The following is a 23,372-nucleotide window of genomic DNA, read 5'->3' as shown; positions in this document are numbered from 1 at the left end:
CCCAGCTGCCTGCCTTGGCCTCCCAAAGTGCCGAGATTGCAGCCTCTGCCGTGCCGCCACCCAGTCTGGGAAGTGAGGAGCATCTCTGCCTGGCCACCCATCGTCTGGGATGTGAGGAGCCCCTCTGCCTGGCTGCCCAGTCTGGAAAGTGAGGAGTGTCTCTGCCCGGCCGCCATCCCATCTAGGAAGTGAGGAGCGCCTCTTCCCAGCTGCCATCCCATCTAGGAAGTGAGGAGTGTCTCTGCCCGGCTGCCCATCGTCTGAGATGTGGGGAGCGCCTCTGCCCCGCCGCCCTTTCTGGGATGTAAGGAGCGCCTCTGCCCGGCCGCCGCGTCTGAGAAGTGAGGAGACCCTCCGCCCGGCAGCCGCCCCATCTGAGAAGTGAGGAGCCCCTCCGCCCGGCAGCCGCCCCGTCTGAGAAGTGAGGAGCCCCTCCGCCCGGCAGCTACCCCGTCTGGGAAGTGAGGAGCGTCTCCGCCCGGCAGCCACCCCGTCCGGGAGGGAGGTGGGGGTCAGCCTCCGCCCGGCCAGCCGCCCCGTCCGGGAGGGAGGTGGGGGGTCAGCCCCCGCCCGGCCAGCCGCCCCGTCCGGGAGGGAGGTGGGGGGCCAGACCCCCGCCCGGCCAGCCGTCCCGTCCGGGAGGGAGGTGGGGGGCCAGACCCCCGCCCGGCCAGCCGCCCCGTCCGGGAGGGAGGTGGGGGGCCAGACCCCCGCCCGGCCAGCCGCCCCGTCCGGGAGGTGAGGGGCGCCTCTGCCCGGCCGCCCCTACTGGGAAGTGAGGAGCCCCTCTGCCCGGCCAGCCGCCCCATGCAGGAGGGAGGTGGGGGGGGGGTCAGCCCCCCGCCCGGCCAGCCGCCCCGTCCGGGAGGTGAGGGGCGCCTCTGCCCGGCCACCCCTACTGGGAAGTGAGGAGCCCCTCTGCCTGGCCACCACCCCGTCTGGGAGGTGTACCCAACAGCTCATTGAGAACGGGCCATGATGACAATGGCGGTTTTGTGGAATAGAAAGGGGGGAAAGGTGGGGAAAAGATTGAGAAATCGGATGGTTGCCGTGTCTGTGTAGAAAGAGGTAGACATGGGAGACTTTTCATTTTGTTCTGTACTAAGAAAAATTCTTCTGCCTTGGGATGCTGTTGATCTATAACCTTACCCCCAACCCTGTGCTCTCTGAAACATGTGCTGTGTCCACTCAGGGTTAAATGGATTAAGGGCGGTGCAAGATGTGCTTTGTTAAACAGATGCTTGAAGGCAGCATGCTCGTTAAGAGTCATCACCACTCCCTAATCTCAAGTACCCAGGGACACAAACACTGCGGAAGGCCGCAGGGTCCTCTGCCTAGGAAAACCAGAGACCTTTGTTCACTTGTTTATCTGCTGACCTTCCCTCCACTATTGTCCTATGACCCTGCCAAATCCCCCTCTGCGAGAAACACCCAAGAATGGTCAATTAAAAAAAAAAAAAAAAAAAGACAAAAATTAGCCAGGCATGGTGGTATGTGCCTGTAATCCCAGCTACTCGAAGGCTGAGACAGGAGAATCACTTGAACCTGGGAGGTGGAGGTTGCAGTGAGCTGAAATCACAACACTGCACTACAGTCTGGGCAACAGAGCGGGACTCCATCTCAAGAAAAGAAAAAAATAAAGTGTATTCCCAGACTGCTCATAAGTTGCAATGGGGAAAATATTAATCACACAGTGAACAAATTGAATAACACCTGACCAAACAAAATTAAGATTCCCAGTGAAGGGGATGGCCATCACGTGGCTCTGAAAAGGACACAATGTCATTTATGTAGTATTCCAACCAAGAATGCATAGCCTGAAATCATGAGGAAACACCCAACAAACCCAACCTGAGGACTATTATATTTTATGTATTTATTTATTTTTGAGACAGGGTCTCACTTTGCTGCCCAGACTGGAATGCAGTGGTACAATCATGGCTCACTATAGCTTCCAGCTCCTGGGCTCAAAGCAACCCTCCTACCTTAGCCTCCCAAGTAGCTGGGGCCAGAGATGTGCACCACCACATTTGGCTAATTTTTTCTTTTTTTCTTTTTGATACAGAGTCTCAGTCTGTCACCCAAGCTGCAGTGCAATGGTTCAATCATGGCTCACTGCAGCCTCAAACCTTCCCAGGTTCAGGTGATCTTCCCACCTCAGCCTCCTGAGTAGCTGGGACTACAGCTGCTCACAACTCACCCAGTTAACTTCTGTATTTTTTGTAGAGATGGGGTCTCACCATGTTGCCCAGGCTGGTCTCAAAGTCCTAGGCTCAAGTCATCGGCCCACCTAGGTAGCCCTTGCAAAATGTTAGGATTAACGCGTGAGCCACTGCACCCAGGCCAGGTTAATTGTTTCACTGTTTGTAGAGTCAGGGTCTTGCCATGTTGCTCAGGCTGGTCTCAAACCCCTAGGCTCAAGCAATCCTCCCACCTCAGCCTCCCAAAGTAATGGAATTACAGGAGTGAGTCACTGCATGTGGCCTTTAATTTTTTTATGCTTTAGAGATAGAGTCTCACTCTGTTGCCCAGGCTGGAGTATAGTGGCACAATCACAGCTCACTGTAACCTCAAACTCCTGGGCTCAAATGATCCTCCCACCTCAGCCTCTTGCATAGCTGAGACTACAGGATCGCACCACCATACCCGGCTAATTTTTCAATTATGTTGTAAAGACAGTGTCTCACTATGTTTTCCAGGCTGGTCTCCAACTCCTGGCATCAAGAGATCCTCCCACCTCAGCCTCCTAAAGTGCTAGGATTACAGGCATGATAAGCCACTGCGCCCAGCCTATTTTTTTTTTTCTCCAAGCCCAGGGTACAGAAGGAGGAACACTGTATTTTAAAAAGGAGGTCAGGCTGGGATGGTGGCTCACACCTGTAATCCCTGCACACTGGGAGGCCGAGGTGGATGGATTACCTGAGGTCAGGAGTTCGAGACCAGCCTGGCCAACATGGTGAAACCCCATCTCTACTAAAAATACAAAAATTAGCCAGGCATGGTGGCAGGCACCTGTAACCCCAGCTACTTGGGAGGCTGATGCAGAGGAATCGCTTGAACCTGGGAGGCAGAGGTTGCAGTGAGCCGAGACCGTGCCATTGCACTCCAGTGTGGGCAACAAGAGAGAAGCTCCATCTCAAAAAAAAAAAAAACAAATCAGGAGGTCAATGCTGGACACAGTTGCTCATGCCTCTAATCCCAACACGTTTGCAGGCAGAGGCAGGAGAACTGCTTGAGCCCAAGAGTTTGACACCAGCCTGGGTAACACAGTGAGAACCCATCTCTACAAAAGCATTTTAAAAATTAGTCAGGTGGCCCAGTGCGGTGGCTCACACCTGTAATCCCAGCACTTTGGGAGGCTGAGCCAGGCAGATCATCTGAGGTCAGGAGTTCGAGACCAGCCTGGTCAACATGGCAAAACCCTGTCTCTACTAAAAATACAAAAATTAGCCGGGCATGGTGGCAGACGCCTGTAATCCCAGCTATTCTGGAGGCTGACGCAGGAGAATCACTTGAACCCAGGAGGCGAAGGTTGCAGTGAGCCAAGAGTGCGCCATTGCACACCAGCCTGGGCGACAAGAGCGAAACTCTGTCTCAAAAAAAAAAAAAAAAAAAAAAAAATCAGTCAGGCATGGTACTTGGGAGGCTGAGGTGAGAGGATTGCTTGGTCCTAGGATATCAAGGCTGCAGTGAGCTATGATCATGCCACTGCATTCCAGCTTAGGTGACAGAGTGAGAAGCTATCCCTTAAAAAAAAAGAGAGACATAAAAATACTTTTATATGCATATGACATTTCTGAATAGACACAAAGGAAAAAGTAGTAAATACCTCTCGCAAGTGGGCCTGGGGCTTTCACTTTGTGCCCTTTAATCTATTTCATCTCTTGACAATAGTATGTACAATTCTTAATGGAAATTTAAAACTTTTAAGAGTAATCTGCTCTCAGTATTTGTGGCTAAGGCAGAGGGGACAGAAGAGGCCTCCTGAAAACTAGGTTGAGAGAAAAGCTCACTTACCTTAGGCAGGTCCAGAAACAGGTGCTGGCTCGACTGCACCACAGGGCATGATCGGCAGACTTTACACTGAGGCTTCTGCGAAGGAAAATTCCAGAGGACAGATCAGGCCTGCAGGCCAGGGGAGGGGTCCAGGCAAGGGGAGGAGCAGAGAAGGATTAGCTCCTCAGTCTGCCATCTAGTTTAGCTTCAGGCTCACACTCCAATAACTCTACTATGTGGCCTACTCTAAACATGGAGACTCAAATCTTCTCAGTATAACTCCATTTGTTCTCAGAGTTTCAGATCTCTGTCCCATCACACCAGAGTAAAAAAAACATTCTCTGAACATAGGCTAGGTACAGAGCACTGCACTGTACTTGGCTGTGTGAGGGGAGGAAGGAGTGATGAAGTGAAGACATAGCCCCTCTCTTTGAGGAAGCTACAAGTCAGGGAGAGATGGCTTATATAAGAAACAAGTGTGGGCCGGGCGCGGTGGCTCACGCCTGTAATTCCAGCATTTTGGGAGGCCGAGGCAGGCGGATCATGAGGTCAAGAGATTGAGACCATCCTGGCCAACATAGTGAAACCCCGTATCTACTAAAAATACAAAAATTAGCTGGGCATGGTGGCGTGCACCTGTAGTCCCAGCTACTTGGGAGGCTGAGGCAGAATTGCTTGAACCTGAGAGGCAGAGGTTGCAGTGAGCCAAGATCATGCCACCGCACGCCAGGCTGCTGACAGAGCAGACTCTGTCTCAAAAAAAAAAAAAAGGAAAAAGACACAAATGTGGCTGAGCACCGTGGCTCACGCCTATAATCCCAACACTTTGGGAGGCTGAGGCAGGTGGAACACCTGAGGTCAGGAGTTCAAATCCAGCCTGGCCAGCATGGTGAAACCTCGTCTCTACTAAAAATACAAAATTAGCCGGGTTTGGTAGTGCGTGCCTGTAATCCCAGTTACTCAGGAGGCTGAGGCAGGAGAATCACTTGAACCTGGGTGGTGGAGATTGCACTGAGCTGAGATCGCGCCATTGCACTCCAGCCCGGGCAACAAGAGCAAAACTCCATCTCAAAAAAAAAAAAAAAAAGAAACAAGTGCAGATCTTTACAAAATAAATTTATTTGTGTGGCATAAACTGACTATATAAACATGGAAGGGTGATGGCTAATGGAGTGAACAGTTAGGTGGAGCTAATGAATGAAAACTTTCGAGTTTTTTGTTGTTGCTCTTTTTTCCATCTTTCAGAGAGGGCTTTGTAGTAGAGTTTTGTTGTTGTTGTTGTTGTTGTTGTTTTTGAGACGAAGTCTCACTCTGTTGCCCAGACTGGAGTGCAGTGGTGCAGTCTTGGCTCACTACAACCTCCACCTCCCGGGTTCAAGCGATTCTCCAGCCTCGGCCTCCTGAGTAGCTGGGATTATAGGCACGTGCCACCGCGCCCGGCTTATTTTTGTATTTTTAGTAGAGATGGAGTTTCACCATGTTGTTTAGGCTGGTCTCAAACTCCTGATCTCGTGATCTGCCCGCCTCAGCCTCCCAAAGTGCGCGGACTACAGGCGTGAGCCACCGTGCCTGGCTTGTTTTTTTTTTGTTGTTGTTGCTTTTTTTTTTTTTTTTTGAGACAAAATCTCGCTCTGTCGCCCAGGCTGGAGTGCAGTAGCGTAATCTCAGCTCACTGAAACCTCCACCTCCCAGGTTCAAGAGATTATCCTGCCTCAGCCTCCCTGGTAGCTGGGATTACAGGCACGCACCACCACACTCAGCTAATTTTTGTATTTTTAGTAGAGGCGGGGTTTCGCCATGTTGGTCAGACTGGTCTGAACTCCTGACCTCAGGTGATCCGGCCGCCTCAGCTTCCCAAAGTCCTGGGATTACAAGCGTGAGCCACCACACCTGGCCCCAAGTGAGTTTTGATCTGAGTTTTTGAAGGTGAGAAATTATAATTCCTCAGGACCTCTCTCCTGAACTCCATATGCCTAATATCCAACTGTCTACCTGACTTCTCTGCCTGGCTATCTAACAGGCATCTCAAGCTTAACAAACCCAAACAGTATGGCTGCATCCCACCTGAAAGCCTGTTCTCCTCACTCACGTTCACAGATGGTACTACCATCTACTCAGGCCAAAAACTTACAAGGCATCTTTTTCCTGACCATCCCAAATTCCAGTCTATCCAACTCCGTGGAGTTTACCTCCAAAAATATACCTCAAGTCTATTTTTTCTTTTCCATTTCTAGTGCTACTAACCTAGTGCAAGCCACCATTATCCCATTTCTGGGTTGTAGCCTTGTTGCCTCCAAATCCTTCTCCATACTTTTTTTTTTGGTGGAGGGGGAACAGTCTTGCTCTGTCACCCAGGCTGGAATGCAGTGGCAATCTTGGCTCACTGCAACCTCCGCTTCCCAGGTTCAAGAAATTCTTCTGCCTCAGCCTCCCAAGTAGCTGGGATTACAGGTGTGCGCCACCACGGCCTGGATAATTTTTGTGGTTTTTTTTTTTTTTTAGACAGAGTCTTACTTTGTAACCCAGGCTGGAATGCAGTGGCGCAATCTCAGCTCACTGCAACCTCTGCCTCCCAGGTTCAAGTGATTCTCAAGCTTCAGCCTCCCAAGAAGCGGGGATTACAGGGGTCCGCCACCACACCCAGCTAATTTTTGTATTTTTTTAGTAGAGACAGGGTTTCACCATGTTGGCCAGGCTGGTCTCAAACTCCTGACCTCAAGTGATCTGCCCACCTCAGCCTCCCAAAGTGCTGGGATTACAGGCGTGAGCCACCGCACCTAGCCATTTCTGTATTTTCAGTAGAGACAGGGTTGCCATGTTACAGGCCAGGCTGGTCTCAAACTCGTGGCTTCAAGTGATCCACCCAGCTTGGCCTCCCAAAGTGCTGGGATTATAGGTATGAGCCACCAATGCCCAGCCCCTTCAACATACTTTATTTCTTGCTTCCCTGCCATCCATTTTCCACAGAGCAGCTTGTCATTCACCAGAATAAAATCTAAATTCCCACAATGGCTTCACAGGCCCTGGTGATCTGGCCCCTGCCATCTCTCTCACCTCATCTCAGTCTACCCTCCTCCTCACTCACTGTGCTAGTGCTATACTGGCCTTGCCAATTCTGCCTTTTCAGCTCTTAGCTGCCTCATGGCCTTTGCATTTCCTAGTCCTTCCGCTTAGAACATTCTTAACCTCTTATTGCCTGGCTTGCTCCTAATTCTTTGGTTAAACTCTCAGTTCAAATGTTACTGCCTCTGAAAGGCCTTCCCTATCTACCTAAGTTAGATCTTCCCCCAGAAGTCACTCTCTGTCACATTTTCCTGGCAGTTTATTCTATATCATTTCCTTAGTTAGTGTTGGTCTCCTGACCATACTAAATAAAATCTGTCTTATTCATTGCCATACCCCCAGCACGCAGAATTGTAATTGGCCTATTCTAAGGATTCAAAAAATGTATGTTGAATAAATGAATGAAGAAATAAATTAACAAATGGCTAGAAGAGAAGATATTTAAAGAAGAGAGAAGGATCTAAACAAATGTAGATCAGGTGGTGTGATGCAAGACCAAAGGTTGGGAAATATAAACTCAACTTGTCTGTTTCTTAGCACAGTGCTCAGCACATAGTAAGTGCTCAGGGAGTATTTTTCAAATGAACTAAATGACGAGTTGCTGAGATGGGGCAGAAAGGGCCACTGGTTAAAGGTCTAGAATGCTAAAATAAAAATCCTAAATGGGACAGGAAGGGCGTCCCTTAAGAATAAGGACTGTCTCCTTCCGGGCTCCCATGGAGACCCTCCTCTTACCTTAAGCTCGACAGCATTGATGAGCTTGCCACACTTGTCACACTGGTCACCCCGAGCCTCCTCATAGCCACAGAAGGGACACACGCCCTCCACGAAGCGGTCAGCCAGGAAGCGAGCACAGTGCTCACATCGCAGTTGCTCCACAGTATCTTGCAGCACAAAACCTCGTTTCAGCAACTGCTGGAAAATGTCCTGGGTGATTCTGGTGAGGTGGGCCAGGGATCAGGAAGAGACAGTCAGAAGACGTGGTGGACCCCTTCCTCCTGCCACTCCAACCAGGGACCCAAACTCAGTGACAAAGAAATCAGGCAGAAGGCTCCTCAAGGAAAAGGGCATCTATTCATCTTTTGAGAGTTTTACTGGATGAGCTCAGACCCATCACACATATTCCCCAACTGCCCACATAATCTTTCCCCTCAACACTTTAGAATTCACTTTTGTTGAACACAGATTTATCTGTTTTGTATTTTTCATTAACAAAAATCTCCAATAGGATAGGACTGTGCCTGTTCTTTAATATATCCTAAAAATTAAGTCAGTCCAAGTGCTAAACTAAACTGCATAGCACTATCAGTTGGCGGCCTGTCTACTATGTAAAGTTTTGGGGGTTTTTTTGTTTGTTTTGAGACAGAGTCTCGCTCTGTCGCCCAGGCTGGAGTGCAGTGGTGCGATCTCAGCTCACTGCCTGCCTCAGCCTCCCGGGTTCAAGCAATTCTCTGCCTCAGCCTCCCAAGTAGCTGGGATTATAGGTGCCCACCACCAGGTCCAGCTAATTTTTGTATTCTTAGTAGAGATGGGGTTTCACCATGTTGGCCAAGCTGGTCTTGAACTCCTGACCTCGTGATCCACCCACCTCGGCCTCTCAAAGTGCTGAGATTACAGGCGTGAGCCACTGCGCCCAGCCCTTTTTTTTTTTTTTTTGAGACAGTCTCACTCCGTCACCAAGTCTGAAGTGCAGTGGCACTATCTCAGCTCACTGTAAGCTCTGCCTCCCGGGTTCATGCCATTCTCCTGCCTCAGCCTCCAGAGTAGCTGGGACTACAGGCGCCCACCACCACGCCTGGTTAATTTTTTTTTTTTTTTGTATTTTTAGTAGAGACAGGGTTTCACTGGGTTAGCCAGGATAGTCTCGATCTCCTGACCTCGTGATCCGCCCGCCTCGGCCTCCCAAAGTGCTGGGATTACAGGTGTGAGCCACCGCGCCCAGCCCCAGCCTTTTTTTTTTTTTTTTTTTTTTTGAGACAGAGTTTTGCTCTTGTTGCCCAGGCTGGAGTACAATGGCATGATCTTGGCTCACCACAACCTCCGCCTCCTGGGTTCAAGAGATTCTTCTGCCTCAGCTTCCCAAGTAGCTGGGATTACAGGCACCCACAACCACGCCCAACTAATTTTTGTATTTTTAGTAGAGATGGGGTTTCTCCATGTTGGTCAGGCTGGTCTTGAACTCCTGACCTCCGGTGAGCCGCCCGCCTCGGCCTCCCAAAGTGCTGGGATTACAGGTATGAGCCACTGCACCCGGCTATGCAAAGTTTTTATAAGGATGAGTATTAGGCAGAGGAAGAATGAGTTTATGTGTTATAAATGCATACAGGAGTGGGAAGAAGTGTCTTAGACTTCAGGACACAGAGAGGAAGGGAGGCACTAGAGGGAAGATAGATATTTCCCATCAGCCTGCGTCTGGTCTCTGCCCTCCCTCAGCTGCTCCTTCAGCTCCTGGTCAGGCTTCTACACACACCATCTTCCCTCAAAAATGCCTGGATAACTGCCCAGGGTGATATTGAGATCCTAAGTTTAGGAGTGCCCAGACAGCCACCCGGGTTCCTTCTGTCTCCAAGATACTCCCACTGTTCCCAGTCTCAGCCTTCAAGCCCCATTTCTGCCTCATTAGAGGAAACTTACTTGGTCTGCTGTGGAGTGGTGGTGCGACCAAAAATATCAAACGAAATGTTAAACCAGCGGTAGATGTCAGCATGGATGATGTGGTACTTGTCGCAGATCTCCTGGGGGGTTAGTCCCTCCTCCAGAGCCTTGGTCTCTGTTGCTGTACCATACTCATCTGTCCCACACAGATAGAGGGTGTTCCACTGGCGGAGGCGAGAGTACCTGCAAGGGAATATGGTGATCGCTAGGGGGCCCCGCTTCAGCGCTTCCTTGTCCTTGGGATCTCCCCAGCCCCACCCTTGAAGCATCCTATTCCCCTGGGACCCGCCCTTCCCTTAGGAGGTCTCTCCCCGAGCAGCTGGCTCCACCTGGCAAAGACATCGGCACTGAGCACACAACCAATGATGTTCCCAAGGTGGGGGACATTGTTGACGTAAGGGAGGGCACTGGTGATGAGCACATTCCTTTCTCCAGCCACAGGCAACCTAGTAAGGAAAGAGGAAGAGAACAGTGCATGGGGGGATGTGAGGGTCAACAGGGACGAAAAGTGCACAGAACACCCGGACACAGATTTGTTCTACTGTCATGTGTTCATGTACACTTGAAGTCTTTCTGCACACAAACCCACAGGACCACAGCTTCCCGAGGCACTCTAAGATCCCCAGAGATGCAAATACAGGGCACTGCCACAGTGAGGAAGTCTCCTGTACTGCTATGAAGGAGCCTTGTTCAACACCAATTTCTGTCCCTTTTACTGTCATGACTGCTTGTTTTCTATTACCTCATTCTCAGGCTCAAACTCTCCCTAGGCTCTGTCCAATCATTACCCTCTCACCACTCCCAAGAACACTTTCCCAGCGCTGGCTTCTCCCCTTCTTTCCAGGTGCTATGTTACTATAATCTCTAGCCACTATCTGAAATCCAAAGAGCTCACCAGCCTAGATACGACCCGTAACAAGTCCTTTTGTACCGACTCTCTAACCCATGTCTGTCACTTCCTCATGGCCTAACTCAAACCAGCAGGCACCAGTTTTGCCTTCACCGTCACCCTCTCCTTCCCACTTTTCTAGATCGTTGCTGGTCATGCCATTCAACCTGCTGTCTGAAGGCACTCAATGCAGTATTCCTTTTCAAGTTTCATCATCCTTGACATCTGAGCTGTACACATCCTGTATCAACATCCCCTCTTTAGCACTGACACTACACTAAGGCTCCTATCATCTTTCCAACCATTCTTAGCCTACAGTCACTGCCTCCCCGATTCCCTCACATTAACCTCAACCCTTCTTCCCAGCTGCTGCTATATATCCCAATAGATGGCCCAACTACTTCCTAGAACATTTACAGCTTATTTCCATAAAACGCATCTCACTAATTTCTTGTGCATCCATCACCCTTTCTCTCCATAACTGAATATCGTAACTTTCTCTGAAATCCAGCTTAGAAATCACCTCCTCCAAGAAAACCTTCCTTCACTGATGGCCATCTTCCCACACAGTCTTTTTTGTATCCCAACCCCCTAACCACTTTGTACCATATTGAGTAGTGCTCCTTTTGTGTTACCCTGTCACTTATCTCTCAGAATGAGTGTGCTTACTGCTGTGGCAAGTATAGAGGCAAATATGCCCTAGGTTCTGCTCCCAAGGGTATTACATTCTATTATGTAACTGCTGACTGGGATCAGTGTAATGAAGAGGTGCAAAGTGTCAAAGGAGATCAAAGGAAGGCAAGCACTCTAGCCCAACACAGCTTAGTCTGCCCATAGGATCTTCAATGCCAACTGTCTCCTCCTCCACTTATGCATTTAAATGTATTTGCCTGTATACATGCCTGAGAAAGGTTATCTCCCTTTTTTTTTTTTTTTGGAGACAGGGTCTCCCTCTGTCACCTAGGCAGGAGGGCAGTGGCACAACACAGCACACTGTAATCTTGAACTCCTGGGCTCAAAATGATCCTTCCATCTCAGCCTCCCAGGTAGCTGGAACTTCAGGCAGGCATCACCGTGCCTGGATAATTTTTAAATTTTTTTTGTAGAGATGCAGTCTATGTTGACAGGACTGGTCTCGAACTCCTGGGCTCAAGTGATCCTCCCGCCTCAACCTCCCAAAGTGCTGGGATTTCAGGCATGAGCCACGGCAGTACTTCCTATTCTATATGAGCCTTGAAAGTGCTTAGTATTGGCCGGATGCAGTGGCTCACGCCTGTAATCCCAGCACTTTGGGAGGCTCAGGCAGGCGGATCACGAGGTCGGAGCTCAAGACCAGCCTGGCCAACATGGTAAAACCCCGTCTCTACTAAAAAAGTACAAAAATTAGCCGGGCCTGGTGGTGCGTGCTTGTAATCCCAGCTACTCGGGGGGCTGAGACAGGAGAATCACTTGAACCCAGGAGGCAGAGGTTGCCGTGAGCCTAGATTGCGCCACTCACTCCATCCTAGTGAGACTCAGTTTCAAAAAAAAAAAAAAGAAAGTGCTTATATTGCCGGGTGCAGTGGCTCATGCCTGTAATCCCAGCACTTTGGGAGGCCGAGACAAGTGGATCATGAGGTCAGTTCAAGACCAGCCTAGCCAACATAGTGAAACCCCGTCTCTACTAAAAATACAAAAAATTGCTCCCTCTCCCTGTCTCCGACTTTCCACGGTCTCCCACTTTCCACGGTCTCCCTCTGATGCCGAGCCGAGGCCGGACTGTACTGCCGCCATCTCGGCTCACTGCAACCTCCCTGCCTGATTCTCCTGCCTCAGCCTGCCCAGTGCCTGGGATTGCAGGCGCGCGCCGCCACACCTGACTGGTTTTTGTATTTTTTGGTGGAGACGGGGTTTCGCCGTGTTGGCCGGGCTGGTCTCCAGCTCCTGACCGCGAGTGATCTGCCCGCCTGGGCCTCCTGAGGTGCTGGGATTGCAGACGGAGTCTCGCTCACTCAGTGCTCAATGTTGCCCAGGCTGGAGTGCAGTGGCGTGATCTCGGCTCGCTACAACCTCCACCTCCCAGCTGCCTGCCTTGGCCTCCCAAAGTGCCAAGATTGCAGCCTCTGCCCGGCCGCCACCCCGTCTGGGAAGTGAGGAGCGTCTCAGCCTGGCTGCCCATCGTCTGGGATGTGAGGAGCCCCTCTGCCTGGCCGCCCAGTCTGGGAAGTGAGGAGCGCCTCTTCCCCGCCGTCAACCTGTCTAGGAAGTGAGAAGCGTCTCTGCCTGGCCGCCCATGGTCTGAGATGTGGGGAGCGCCTCTGCCCCGCCGCCCCGTCTGAGATGTGAGGAGCGCCTCTGCCCGGCCGCGACCCCGTCTGGGATCTGAGGAGTGTCTCTGCCCGACCGCCACCCCATCCGGGAGGTGAGGAGCGTGTCCGCCCGGCAGCCGCCCCATCCAGGAGGTGGGGGGCAGCCCCCGCCCCGCCAGCCGCCCCGTCCGGGAGGAAGGTGGGGGGCAGCGCCCGCCTGGCCAGCCGCCCCATCCGGGAGGTGGGGGGCAGCCCCCGCCCGGCAGCCACCCCATCCGGGAGGTGGGGGGCGCCTCCGCCTGGCCGCCACCCAGCCCGGGAGGTGGGGGGGCACCTCTGCCCGGCCGCCCTGTCTGGGAAGTGAGGAGCCCCTCTGCCCGGCCGCCACCCCATCTGGGAGGTGTACCCAGCAGCTCACTGAGAACGGGCCATGATGACAATGGTGGATTTGTAGAATAGAAAAGGGGGAAATGTGGGGAAAAGAAAGAGAGATCAGATTGTTACTGTGTCTGTGTGGAAAGAAGTAGACATAGGAGACTCCATTTTGTTCTGTACTAAGAAAAATTCTTCTGCCTTGGGATGCTGTTGATCTATGACCTTACCCCCAACCCTGCGCTCTCTGAAACATGTGCTGTGTCCACTCAGGGTTAAATGGATTAAGGGCGGTGCAAGATGTGCTTTGTTAAGCAGATGCTTGAAGGCAGCATGCTCGTTAAGAGTCATCACCACTCCCTAATCTCAAGTACCCAGGGACACAAACACTGCGGAAGGCTGCAGGGTCCTCTGCCTAGGAAAACCAGAGACCCTTGTTCACATGTTTATCTGCTGACCTTCCCTCCACTATTGTCCTATGACCCTGCCAAATCCCCCTCTCCGAGAAACACCCAATAATGATCAATAAATACTAAAAAAAAAAAAAAAAAAAAAAAAATTAGCCAGGCGTGGTGGCAGGCACCTGTAATCCCAGCTACTCAGGAGGCTGAGACAGGAGAATCACTTGAACCCGGGAGGCAGAGGTTGCAGTGAGCCAAGATCATGCCATTGCACTCCAGCCTGGACGACAGTGTGAGACTCCATCTCAAAAAAAAAAAAAAAAAGAAAAAAAAGAAGAAGTAAGTGCTTAGTATTAAACTGAATCCACAATATATGCTCAAGATATACTCAAAACAAGGCTGGGCGTAGTGGCTTACGCCTGTAATCCAAACACTTTGGGAGGCCGAGGCAGGTGGATCCCCTGAGGTCAGGAGTTTGAGACCAGCCTGGCCAACATGGTGAAACCTTGTCTCTACCAAAAATACAAAAATTAGCTGGGCATGGTGGTGTGCACCTGTAATCCCAGCTACTCGGGAGACTGAGACAGGAGAATCACTTGAACCTGGGAGGCGGAGGTTACAGTGAGCTGAGATCACGCCACTGCACTCCAGACTGGATGACAAGGCGAAACTCTGTCTAAAAAAAAAAAATTAAAATTAAAAAATATATATATAATATATAATATATATTATATATATTATATATATTATATAACATAAATATATATTATATATTATATATATTATATAATATAAATATATATATTATATATTATAATATATAATATAATATATATAATATACATTATATAATATAATATATAATATATAATATATATTATATATAATATATATAATATAATGTATATAATATATATTATATAATATAATATATAATATATAATATATTATAATATATAATATATATTATATATAATATATATAATATATAATATATATTGTATATTATATATTAATTATATATAATATATATTATAATATATTATATATTATATATTATAATATATTATATATTATATATTATAATATATTATATATTATATATTATAATATATTATATATTATAATATATTATATATTATATATTATATATTATAATATATTATATATTATATATTATATATTATATATTATAATATATTATATATTATGTAATATATTATACATATCATATAATATATTATATAACATATATTATATATAATATATTATATAATATATATTATACATATCATATAATATATATTATATAACATATATTATATATAATATATTATATAATATATATTATATATATATACTCAAAACAAGCAAAACAACAAGGATGGACTTTCATAAATTCATTCAAATGTTATCAATATCTACAGAACATTTGGCCCTGTGCTAGCAACTGAGCCCCATAAAAGAGACACCTCTACCTTCAATGAGCTTACAAATTAGTGAAGAAACAAACATGTAATGTGACAATTACAACATAATATGACAATGGGACCTCCCAGAAATTGAAGCACTTAAGACTGTCTCACACTCTATAGAGAAGGAAAAGGCAGAACTCCTCTCTGCAAGAAGAGTTGTGCATCAGGCAGGTAAGATGCTGGCATTCCAGGGAGAAGGAACAGTATGCATAAAGGCACAGAGGTGAGAGACAATGGTATGATGCCAGCCCCACCTGCCTCTCAAAACTCATTTTGACCCATGTGCCCCCGACTGACCAGCCTGCTGCCACTGTCCTTTTAGGAATTCCTTAAGAGGCAAACTCTCTTGCTTCTCAGGTCTTTGCATATTAGATTTCCTCTCTCTGAAACACCCTCTCTCCACTCTTACTCTTGCCTAACTAGCCCCTACTTAATCTTGCAAGTCTCAAATTTGTTTACGTCTGTGTGTGTGTGTGTGTGTGTGTGTGTGTGTGTGTGTGTGTGTGTGAAATGGAGTCGCGCTCTGTTGCCCAGGCTGGAGTACACTGGCGCAATCTCCGCTCACTGCAAACTCCGCCTCCCGGGTTCAAGCGATTCTCCTGCCTCAGCCTCCTGAGTAGCAGGGATTACAGGCACGAGCCACCGTGCCCAGCTAATTTTTGTGTATTTAGATAGAGACAGGGTTTTGCTATGTTGGCCAGGCTGGTCTCGAACTGCTGATCTCAGGTGATCTGCCGCCTTGGCCTCCCAAAGTGCTAGGATTACAGGCATGAGCCACCGCACCTGGCCGTTTTAAGTCTTCACTCAATGTTTTAGAGAGGCCTCTAAATTAGTCACCTCTGATATTTCCTCGCATAGCAACCTCTTCTTTTCCTTCATTGGACTTTTTTTTTTTTTTTTTGAGACAGTCTTGCTCTGTCTCCCAGGCTGGAGTGCAGTGGCATGATCTTGGCGCACTGCAACCTCCGCCTCCCAGGTTCAAGCGATTCTCCTGCCTCACCTTCCCGAGTAGCTGGGACTACAAGTGCCCGCCACAATGCCCGGCTAATTTTTGTATTTTTAGTAGAGGCAGGGTTTCACCATGTTGGCCAGGCTGGTCTTGAACTCCTGACTCAAATGATCCACCCACCTCAGCCTCCCAAAGTGCTAGGATTACAGGCATGAGCCACCGCGCCCGGCCTGGACTTTTCAAAATGTGTAATTCTACATTTGTGTGACAGTTTTTAAAATACCTGTCTATCCTACCAGACAGAAAGTCCCATGACAGCGGAGATCCTGTCTGTCTTGTTCCCCTCTGTATACCCAGCTCCTAGCATGCAGGGACTGGAAAGGAGTAAACACTCAAATGTTTATTGAATGGCAAACATACTCAGAACTGTAAATAATTTCATTTTGACGGAAAAAACTGCGTATGTATAAATATTATCTTAGTGTAGCAGGAGAGTGACAAAATATGTTACTGAGCCTGCAGTCAGGGGCCTTGTGAATTACACAAAGGAACCATCGATAGAATTCTAAAAAGGAGTGATAATAGTCTGTGCAGTTTTAAGCAGTCACTCTGGAGGCAGTGTGGAGTACAGAGTGTCAGGGAAAGAGGATAACAGATGACAAGGTCTGTTAGTATCTGTGTAGTGACAGTGACAACAGAGAGGAGAAGGGGTGGATTCAAAGACTACTTAACAGTTAGAGTCAACGACTTGGTAAGGGAATGAATAATACAGCTAGGGAGAAACGAAGAAGTCTAGATAACACCAAGATTTCTGGCTTGGATTTTTAGGTGGAAGGTGGAGGCTGTTCAACAAAGGCAGGTGAATAAATAAAAGGGCATTTAGCAGGAAAGGTAACAGGTTTGGTTTTGGATATGTTGAATTTGAGATGCCTGTAGAGGTGAAGGAGTCTAGGATAGTATGGCAAATGTGTCTGGAGTTCAGAATACAGATCTGGACTGGAAAAATAGAGTTAGCTCCTATCGGTGGGTAAAAAGTAGCTGAAAAACATGGGTGCAGGGCCGGCACAGTGGCTCATGTCTGTAATCCCAGCACTTTGGGAGGCCAAGGCTGGTGGATCACCTGAGGTCAGGAGTTCGAGACCAGCCTGTCTGGGCAACATGGTGAAACCTTGTCTCTTCAAAAAATTAGCCAGGCGTGGTGGTGCACACCTATAATCCCAGCTACTTGGGAGGCTAAGGCAGGAGACTCGCTTGAACCCGGGAGGCGGAGGTTGCAGTAAGCTGAGATCGCGCCAATGCACTCCAGCCTGGGCAACAAGAGCGAAACTCCGCCTCAAAAAAAAAAAAAAAAAAGGATAGACAAGAAAAACATGGGTGCAGATGGGACAGATGGAGTGTCCAAAATGATAGGCTAAGAGAAAATGTAAAAAAAAAAAAAAAAAAAAAAAGAGATGTAAGAATTAAAAGGAGAGGATGAAAAATTAAAGAGAGATCAGCAAACGGGACCTAGCAGGCAGGTTCTGGCTCTATCAACAATTTCCACTACAAAATCAAGCCCCACTCACATGTGCCATGTCTACTCACACTGGATTCTGCTGGGGCCGCAGCGGGGGCAAACTTTCTAGGCCCTTCTCCCAAGCAGTAACAGCCATAGCAATCTCCTCCTCAGATAGGGTAGCCAGCTCCTCCTCCTATAAAGAGTGGAGAGAATCCCTTACCAGGTGAGGAGGGCCCACAGGGTAAAGAAACTTTCTCCTTGCCACTACCTGAAAAAGTTAGTGGCCATGCTCAAAGTCCATCTCCTAGCCACCTCCCACCTCAGGCCCCAAGGCTCTGCCCTATTCCAAACCTCAGGCTCATTGGTGACAGCCCTTCCCTCAGCGGGGCTGGGCTGGGGCTGCTTTTGGAGGTAAGGCCGGAGAGCCAGGACACCTTGCTGTTTCAGTACAGTCTCTGCAGCTCGCTGACATGGTTCCTGGGTACTCAGTGTCTGGAACCAGCTGTGCAGGGCACTCAGCTCCTCTGTGGGTATGGAAGAAAAGAAAATCAGCAAACATAAGGACCTGGTAGGCAGGAGCGGGCATCTTTCCCCTTCTTTGTGAGGTTTCTCCAGTTGCTTTCCCCAGTTCCCTCAACCATCTTCTGCTATAGTTGCCCAGTCAAGCTGTACCTTGAAGGGAGTTCTCAGTATTCTACTGCCCATTCTGTAACCCCTACACCAAGCTCCTAGGGTTGGAGTGATATGCACAGTTCTCACCAGGGAGGTAGGCGGGATCTTGCAGTAATGGGTATAGGGCTCCCCACAAAACAATGTCGGCTAGAGATTCTGTCTCCTTTGTTGGGGATAGAAAAGGAAAATGTACACAAATGAGACACTCAGTTTCTTCCCAATGGTAATATCTAACATTTACTGAGCACTTTATATGTCAAGCACTGTATTAAGCACTTTATATGATCTCACTTAATCCTCACAATAACTCACTGAGATAGGTACTAATATTATCCCATTTCACAACTGAAAAAAATTGAGGATTAGAGAGATTAAGTGATTTGCCAAGATTACACTACTAGTAAGTGGCAGTGTTGGGTTCGAACACTCTGAATACAGTCTTCCCTCTTAATCCTTACACCATAAGCCTTCCCCAGTCCTCATCTCAAGACCCAACTCACCCCAGCCAGGAAAGGACAGTTCTGACGACTCAAGCTGTGGTCAATGTGAGTCAGGGCTCTCCGCACTGAACCAAGAACATCTTCCCCCTTCTTGCCTTGGACCACTAAATAGTACAGGGCAGCAGACAAAGCTGGCTAAAATGCAGGGGACATGAGTCAGGATGGCCACGCAGAACAAGGGCCTGCCTGACATCCCCCATACCTTAGTCCTACCTGCAGCTCTGTCGCTTCCCATTCCAGCCACTGGTTAGTGAGGTCATCTTGCTCCCAGCCAGATAACAAAAAAAAATATCTGCCCAGAGAGAGAGCAACAGATGATGGACTTAGAGGGGCCCATTTAGCCCATTTCTCATCACACAGGGAAACAATGGCTGCAAATAAAGCCACACAAATGACAGTGAGGCCTGATTTGATTCAGCCACCTCCCTACACCAAGGACCAATACTGACCGGCAGATTGCACTAGTGGAGAAGAGGTAGTTGCCGCTATCCAGCTGCAAGACAGGGACCTTAGGCCGGGTCAGGAACGGGACCACACAATCTGATGCAAGAATGGAAAATGGGTTAAAAAAAAAAAAGGAAAAGAAAAGAAATACTTTGTCAACTTAGGATAACCTTGCATTGTTCAGTGAGTAAAAAAAGAAAGATGGGCAGTCTCAACCCAGAAGTTCCAGGATAGGACCACTGAAAGGGGGTGGTCCGGAATGGGCTGGAGAGGCCAGCAGGTGTTCAGCTGAAACTGCCAGCTGGAAGCAACAGATGGGGACTGCAGAGGAGGTGGTGGTATTGGGATAGTGCTGCAGCCAAGAACTTAACGACTGAAAGTAACTGGGATATCTTCATAATTATCTGAAGGTCACAGTGGGAGAACAAAATTAAAAGAACTGAGAAGACTTACAAGAGAACCTCCTAAGAGTCACCCAAACAATCGGCTGAGAATGAGAAGAGGTAAACAGAAAGGAACGTGTGTGTGTGTTAGGAGGGGAGAGAGGGATTTCCTAAGAACACAAAAGGGTGCCTGGGGGCTGTCATGCTAGTAACTAAAGAGCAGAGGGGGATGCCTGATAGGTGTAGGAGAAGGTTGGGAAGGGAAGAGCAGTTTACTGGGGTGAGGCGGGGACCGGGAAGACGGAAGAGGGGAGGAGAGAGATAAGGGAAGGGTATTATATTGAGGGTAATTAAAGGAAGTGAAAGATGTGACTGGGAGGGAAGAAGGCGTGGAGTGATCAAGGATAATAGGAGAAGTGGTCGATTGGGGTGTGTGGCGAGGGCTAGGGGTTTGGCAAAGACAGCTGCAGAGAATCTGGCGTGTTTCGGTCCCGCCCCCCCATCCACCGCCCACCAGCACCAGCACGAGTACCTTCCGGGCCTACAGTGCTGATGAGCACCTCTGCTCTGCCCCGGGCTCTCCCGGCGGCGGCCAGCACCGGCAAGCAACCCGGGACGCCATCACTCACGAACAGTCTCATTTCGCCGTGAATCCCTCGCTGATGCAACCGGAACCGGCCTCCCGCTTCTGAGTTCAGCGGCCTCCGCGAGGCACGCCGGGAAATGGAGTTCCGTATTAGGCCACTGCCCTGGCACCGCTACCGGAAAGTAGACTATTTCTCCCATCATGCAACGCTAAGACACAGGAAAAGACTATCATCGAGATGAAGAGGCCGCAGATGCGGGCTAGACTGCACTTTTTTTTTTTTTTTTTTTTTTTTGTGAGAGGGCGTCTCCCTCTGTCACCTGGGCTGAAGTGCAGTGGCACGGTCTTGGCTCGCTGCAACCTCTGCCTCCAGGGTTCAAGTGATTCTCCGGCCTCAGCCTCCCATGCAGCTGGGACTACAGGCACGTGCCACCACGCTCGGCTAATTTTTGTATTTTTAGTAGAGGCGGGCTTTGACCATTTTGGCTAGGCTGGTCTCGAAGTCCTCACCTCAGATGATCCGCCCGCCTCGGCCTGCCAAAGTGCTAGGATTACAGGCGTGAGCCACTGCGCCCGGCCTAGAGCAGCACTTTTTTTCTGGAGATCCAGAAGAGACGTTTAGGTTTTAGGGCAAGTCGCACTTTTATCCTCTTACGCTGCTGGAGGGCGGTGACTGAAGCCGCGGCTGCTTCTCTTGTTGTGGAGAATGAAATGGCCATGTCATAACAGCAGCTACTCGCAGTGGCTCTCGATGCAAGCTCTTAACGGTCAGAGTTTTAGAGTTCGGAGTTACCATGTGCGGAATTAGTGACAAAGTGGAAGTTAGTGTACATATCCATCCTATCAACAACAACAACAAAAATGTACATAGGCCGGGCGCGGTGGCTTATGCATGTAATCCAGCACTTTGGGGAGTCGAGGCGGGCGGATCACCTGAGGTCAGCAGTTCGAGACCAGCCTGGCCAACATGCTGAAACCCCGTCTCTACTAAAAATACAAAATTAGCTGGGCATGGTGGCAGGCGCCTGTAATCCCAGCTACCCGGGAGACTGAGGCAAAAAAAATCGCCTGAACCCGGGAAGCGGAGGTTGCAGTGAGCCGAGACCGCGCCATTGCACTCCAGCCTGGGCAACAAGAGGAAACTCCGTCTCGAAAAAAAAGAATGTAGACAAGTAAAATATTAATACCAGTCTGAGTTCATATACAGCTCGACGTCTCATCAAAGGGGTAGAAGAGCATCTCTTTTTTTTTTTTTTCTTTGAGACGGAGTCTTGCTCTGCCCCCCAGTCTGGACTGCAGTGGCGCGATCTCGGCTCACTGCAACCTCCGTCCCCCGGGGTTCACGCCATTCTCCTGCCTCAGCCTCCCGAGTAGCTGGAACTACAGGTGCCCGCCACCACGCTCGGCTAATTTTTTGTATTTTTAGTAGAGACGGGGTTTCACCGTGTTAGCCAGGATGGTCTCGATCCCCCGACCTCGTGATCCGCCCGCCTCAGCCTCCCAAAGTGCTGGGATTACAGGCGTGCAGCCGCGCCCGGCCAAACATCTCTAGGGAAAAGATGAAATTGAGAAGTAAGGCCGGGCGCGGTGGCTCACGCCTGTAACCCCAGCACGTTGGGAGGCCGAGGCGAGCAGATGACTTGAGGTCAGGAGTTTGGGACCAGCCTGGCCAACGTGGTGAAACCCCTTCTTTAGTGAAAATACAAAAATTAGCTGGGTGTGGTGGTGCACGCCTGTCATCCCAGCTACTCAGGAGGCTGAGCCAGGAGAATCACTTGAACCCAGGAGGCAGAGGTTGCAGTGAGCCGAGATCGTGCCTCTACACTCCAGCCTGCACAATAGAGCAAGACTTCGTCTCAAAAAAAAAAAAATTGAGATTCAAGATGGCTAAGAGTTTGGCAATAAGTATATATTATGCAAGGAAGCACATACCTGTTATTGAGAAAGGGACGCTTCTTATTCATCTTTATATTATTTTAAGAATAATTAATATCTAATAGTACTTATGAGCTAGGCACTGTTTTAAGCACTTTATATTTGATCTCAGAAAATTCTATGGAGGTTCTGGGCCTTTTGAAGCTAGGCCATAAGAAGTTTTGCAGCTTCAGTTGCAGGCTATCTAGCACACTGGTAGCTTTGAGCTGCCATGTAAGAAATCCTACCACTTTGAGCTGCCATGCTAGAGAGGTCTCATGTAGATATTCTGTCTGACAACTCCAGCTAATCCCAGCATTCCAGTCATCCTTACCAAGGTGCCAGACTTGTGAGTGAAGCCTTCCAGACCAGCCCATCTGCCCACTGAAAACTCTTAAGTAACCCTTGGTAGGGTCTCAAGGCCACATGAGATAGAAGAATCACCCACCTAAGGCCTACCCAAATTTCTGCTCCATACCTATACAATTGTTAAACTATAATAAAATGGCTGTTGTTACATTAACAACAACAAAACAAACAAACAAAAAACTAGGCCAGGCCCAGTAACTTATGCCTGTAATCCCTGTGCTTTGGGCAGCTGGATCACTTGAGCCCAGGAATTCAAGACTGCCTGGCCAACATAAAAAAAATAGTTTTTTTGTTTTTTTTTTTTTTCAGATGGAGTCTTACTCTTATTGCCCAGGCTGGAGTGCAATGGTGTGGTCTTGGCTCACTGCAACCTCCGCCTCCTGGGTTCAAGCGATTCTCCTGCCTCAGCCTCCCTAGTAGCCGGGATTACAGACACCTGCCACCATGCCCGGCTAATTTTTGTATTTTTAGTAAAGACGGGGTTTCATCATGTTGGCCAGGCTGGTCTCAAACTCCTGAACTCAGGTGATACACCTGCCTTGGCCTCCCAAAGCGCTGGGATTACAGGCATGAGCCACTGCTCCTGGCCAAAAATAGTTTTTAAAACTAGCCAAGAGGCTGGGCGTGGTGGTTCATGCCTGTAATCCTAGCACTTTGGGAGGCCGAGGTGGACAAATCACCTGAGGTCAGGAGTTCGAAACCAACCTGGCCAACATGATGAAACCCAGTCTCTACTAAAAATACAAAAAATTGGCGGGGTGTGGTGGTGCATGCCTGTAATCCCAGCTACTTAGGATGCTGAGGCAGGAGAATCACTTGAACCCGGGAGGCAGAGGTTGCAGTGAGCTGAGATCGTGCCATTGCACTCCAGCCTGGACGACAGAGCCAGACTCTGTCTCAAAAAAAATAAATAAATAC

The 23,372-nt window shown here is 48.8% G+C and overlaps 2 protein-coding genes across 9 annotated transcripts in view, besides 5 other annotated features; one reads left to right on the top strand and one right to left on the bottom strand.

Annotated features, from left to right (window-relative positions):
* Positions 1-20,249, bottom strand: part of MARS1 (methionyl-tRNA synthetase 1) — a 28,585-nt gene extending 8,336 nt beyond the window's left edge. For 2 of the 3 annotated variants that reach the window (NM_004990.4, XM_047428852.1), the window contains exons 1-11: positions 20,118-20,249; positions 19,208-19,298; positions 18,972-19,050; positions 18,759-18,893; positions 18,346-18,421; positions 17,938-18,110; positions 17,673-17,779; positions 10,044-10,160; positions 9,694-9,897; positions 7,795-7,996; positions 4,018-4,092 (exon numbers count right to left, since the gene is read on the bottom strand). In NM_004990.4, coding sequence (NP_004981.2) covers positions 4,018-4,092; positions 7,795-7,996; positions 9,694-9,897; positions 10,044-10,160; positions 17,673-17,779; positions 17,938-18,110; positions 18,346-18,421; positions 18,759-18,893; positions 18,972-19,050; positions 19,208-19,298; positions 20,118-20,226 — 1,368 coding nt within the window. In that variant the 5' untranslated portion in view covers positions 20,227-20,249. Of the gene's footprint in view, positions 1-4,017; positions 4,093-7,794; positions 7,997-9,693; positions 9,898-10,043; positions 10,161-17,672; positions 17,780-17,937; positions 18,111-18,345; positions 18,422-18,758; positions 18,894-18,971; positions 19,051-19,207; positions 19,299-20,117 lie in introns of those variants that run through there. The other variant, XM_047428851.1, reaches the window with a different exon arrangement.
* Positions 11,237-11,531: a silencer, noted in NCBI's record as "tiled region #11633; K562 Repressive non-DNase unmatched - State 17:Gen3'". NCBI's record gives its function as "represses a minimal TATA promoter and a strong SV40 promoter by Sharpr-MPRA in K562 cells {active_cell/tissue: K562}" and the evidence as "EXISTENCE:reporter gene assay evidence [ECO:0000049][PMID:27701403]".
* Positions 19,378-20,324: an enhancer, noted in NCBI's record as "NANOG-H3K27ac-H3K4me1 hESC enhancer chr12:57881776-57882722 (GRCh37/hg19 assembly coordinates)". NCBI's record gives its function as "activates a minimal SCP1, AML or CMV promoter by ChIP-STARR-seq in naive H9 embryonic stem cells {active_cell/tissue: H9 hESC(naive)}" and the evidence as "EXISTENCE:reporter gene assay evidence [ECO:0000049][PMID:30033119]".
* Positions 19,378-21,272: a biological region, named in NCBI's record as "NANOG-H3K27ac-H3K4me1 hESC enhancers GRCh37_chr12:57880828-57881775 and GRCh37_chr12:57881776-57882722".
* The window catches only part of ARHGAP9 (Rho GTPase activating protein 9), a 16,556-nt gene continuing 12,676 nt past the window's right edge, over positions 19,493-23,372 (top strand). For all 6 annotated transcript variants that reach the window (XM_047429331.1, XM_047429334.1, XM_047429329.1 and 3 more), the window contains exon 1: positions 19,493-19,705. Coding sequence is in view for 4 of the 6 variants with exons in the window: in XM_047429334.1 (XP_047285290.1) it covers positions 19,696-19,705 (10 nt within the window). In the remaining 2 variants the exon portion in view is untranslated. The remainder of the gene's footprint in view (positions 19,706-23,372) is intronic.
* Positions 20,122-20,511: an enhancer, noted in NCBI's record as "active region_6543". NCBI's record gives its function as "activates an Ori minimal core promoter by ATAC-STARR-seq in GM12878 lymphoblastoid cells {active_cell/tissue: GM12878}" and the evidence as "EXISTENCE:reporter gene assay evidence [ECO:0000049][PMID:35858748]".
* Positions 20,325-21,272: an enhancer, noted in NCBI's record as "NANOG-H3K27ac-H3K4me1 hESC enhancer chr12:57880828-57881775 (GRCh37/hg19 assembly coordinates)". NCBI's record gives its function as "activates a minimal SCP1, AML or CMV promoter by ChIP-STARR-seq in naive H9 embryonic stem cells {active_cell/tissue: H9 hESC(naive)}" and the evidence as "EXISTENCE:reporter gene assay evidence [ECO:0000049][PMID:30033119]".

This window comes from Homo sapiens, chromosome 12 (assembly GCF_000001405.40).
Source record: "Homo sapiens chromosome 12, GRCh38.p14 Primary Assembly".
Classification (NCBI taxonomy): Eukaryota; Metazoa; Chordata; class Mammalia; order Primates; family Hominidae; genus Homo; species Homo sapiens.
Note: the sequence above shows the minus strand (reverse complement) of the source record. Positions and strands in the feature narration are given on the sequence as shown.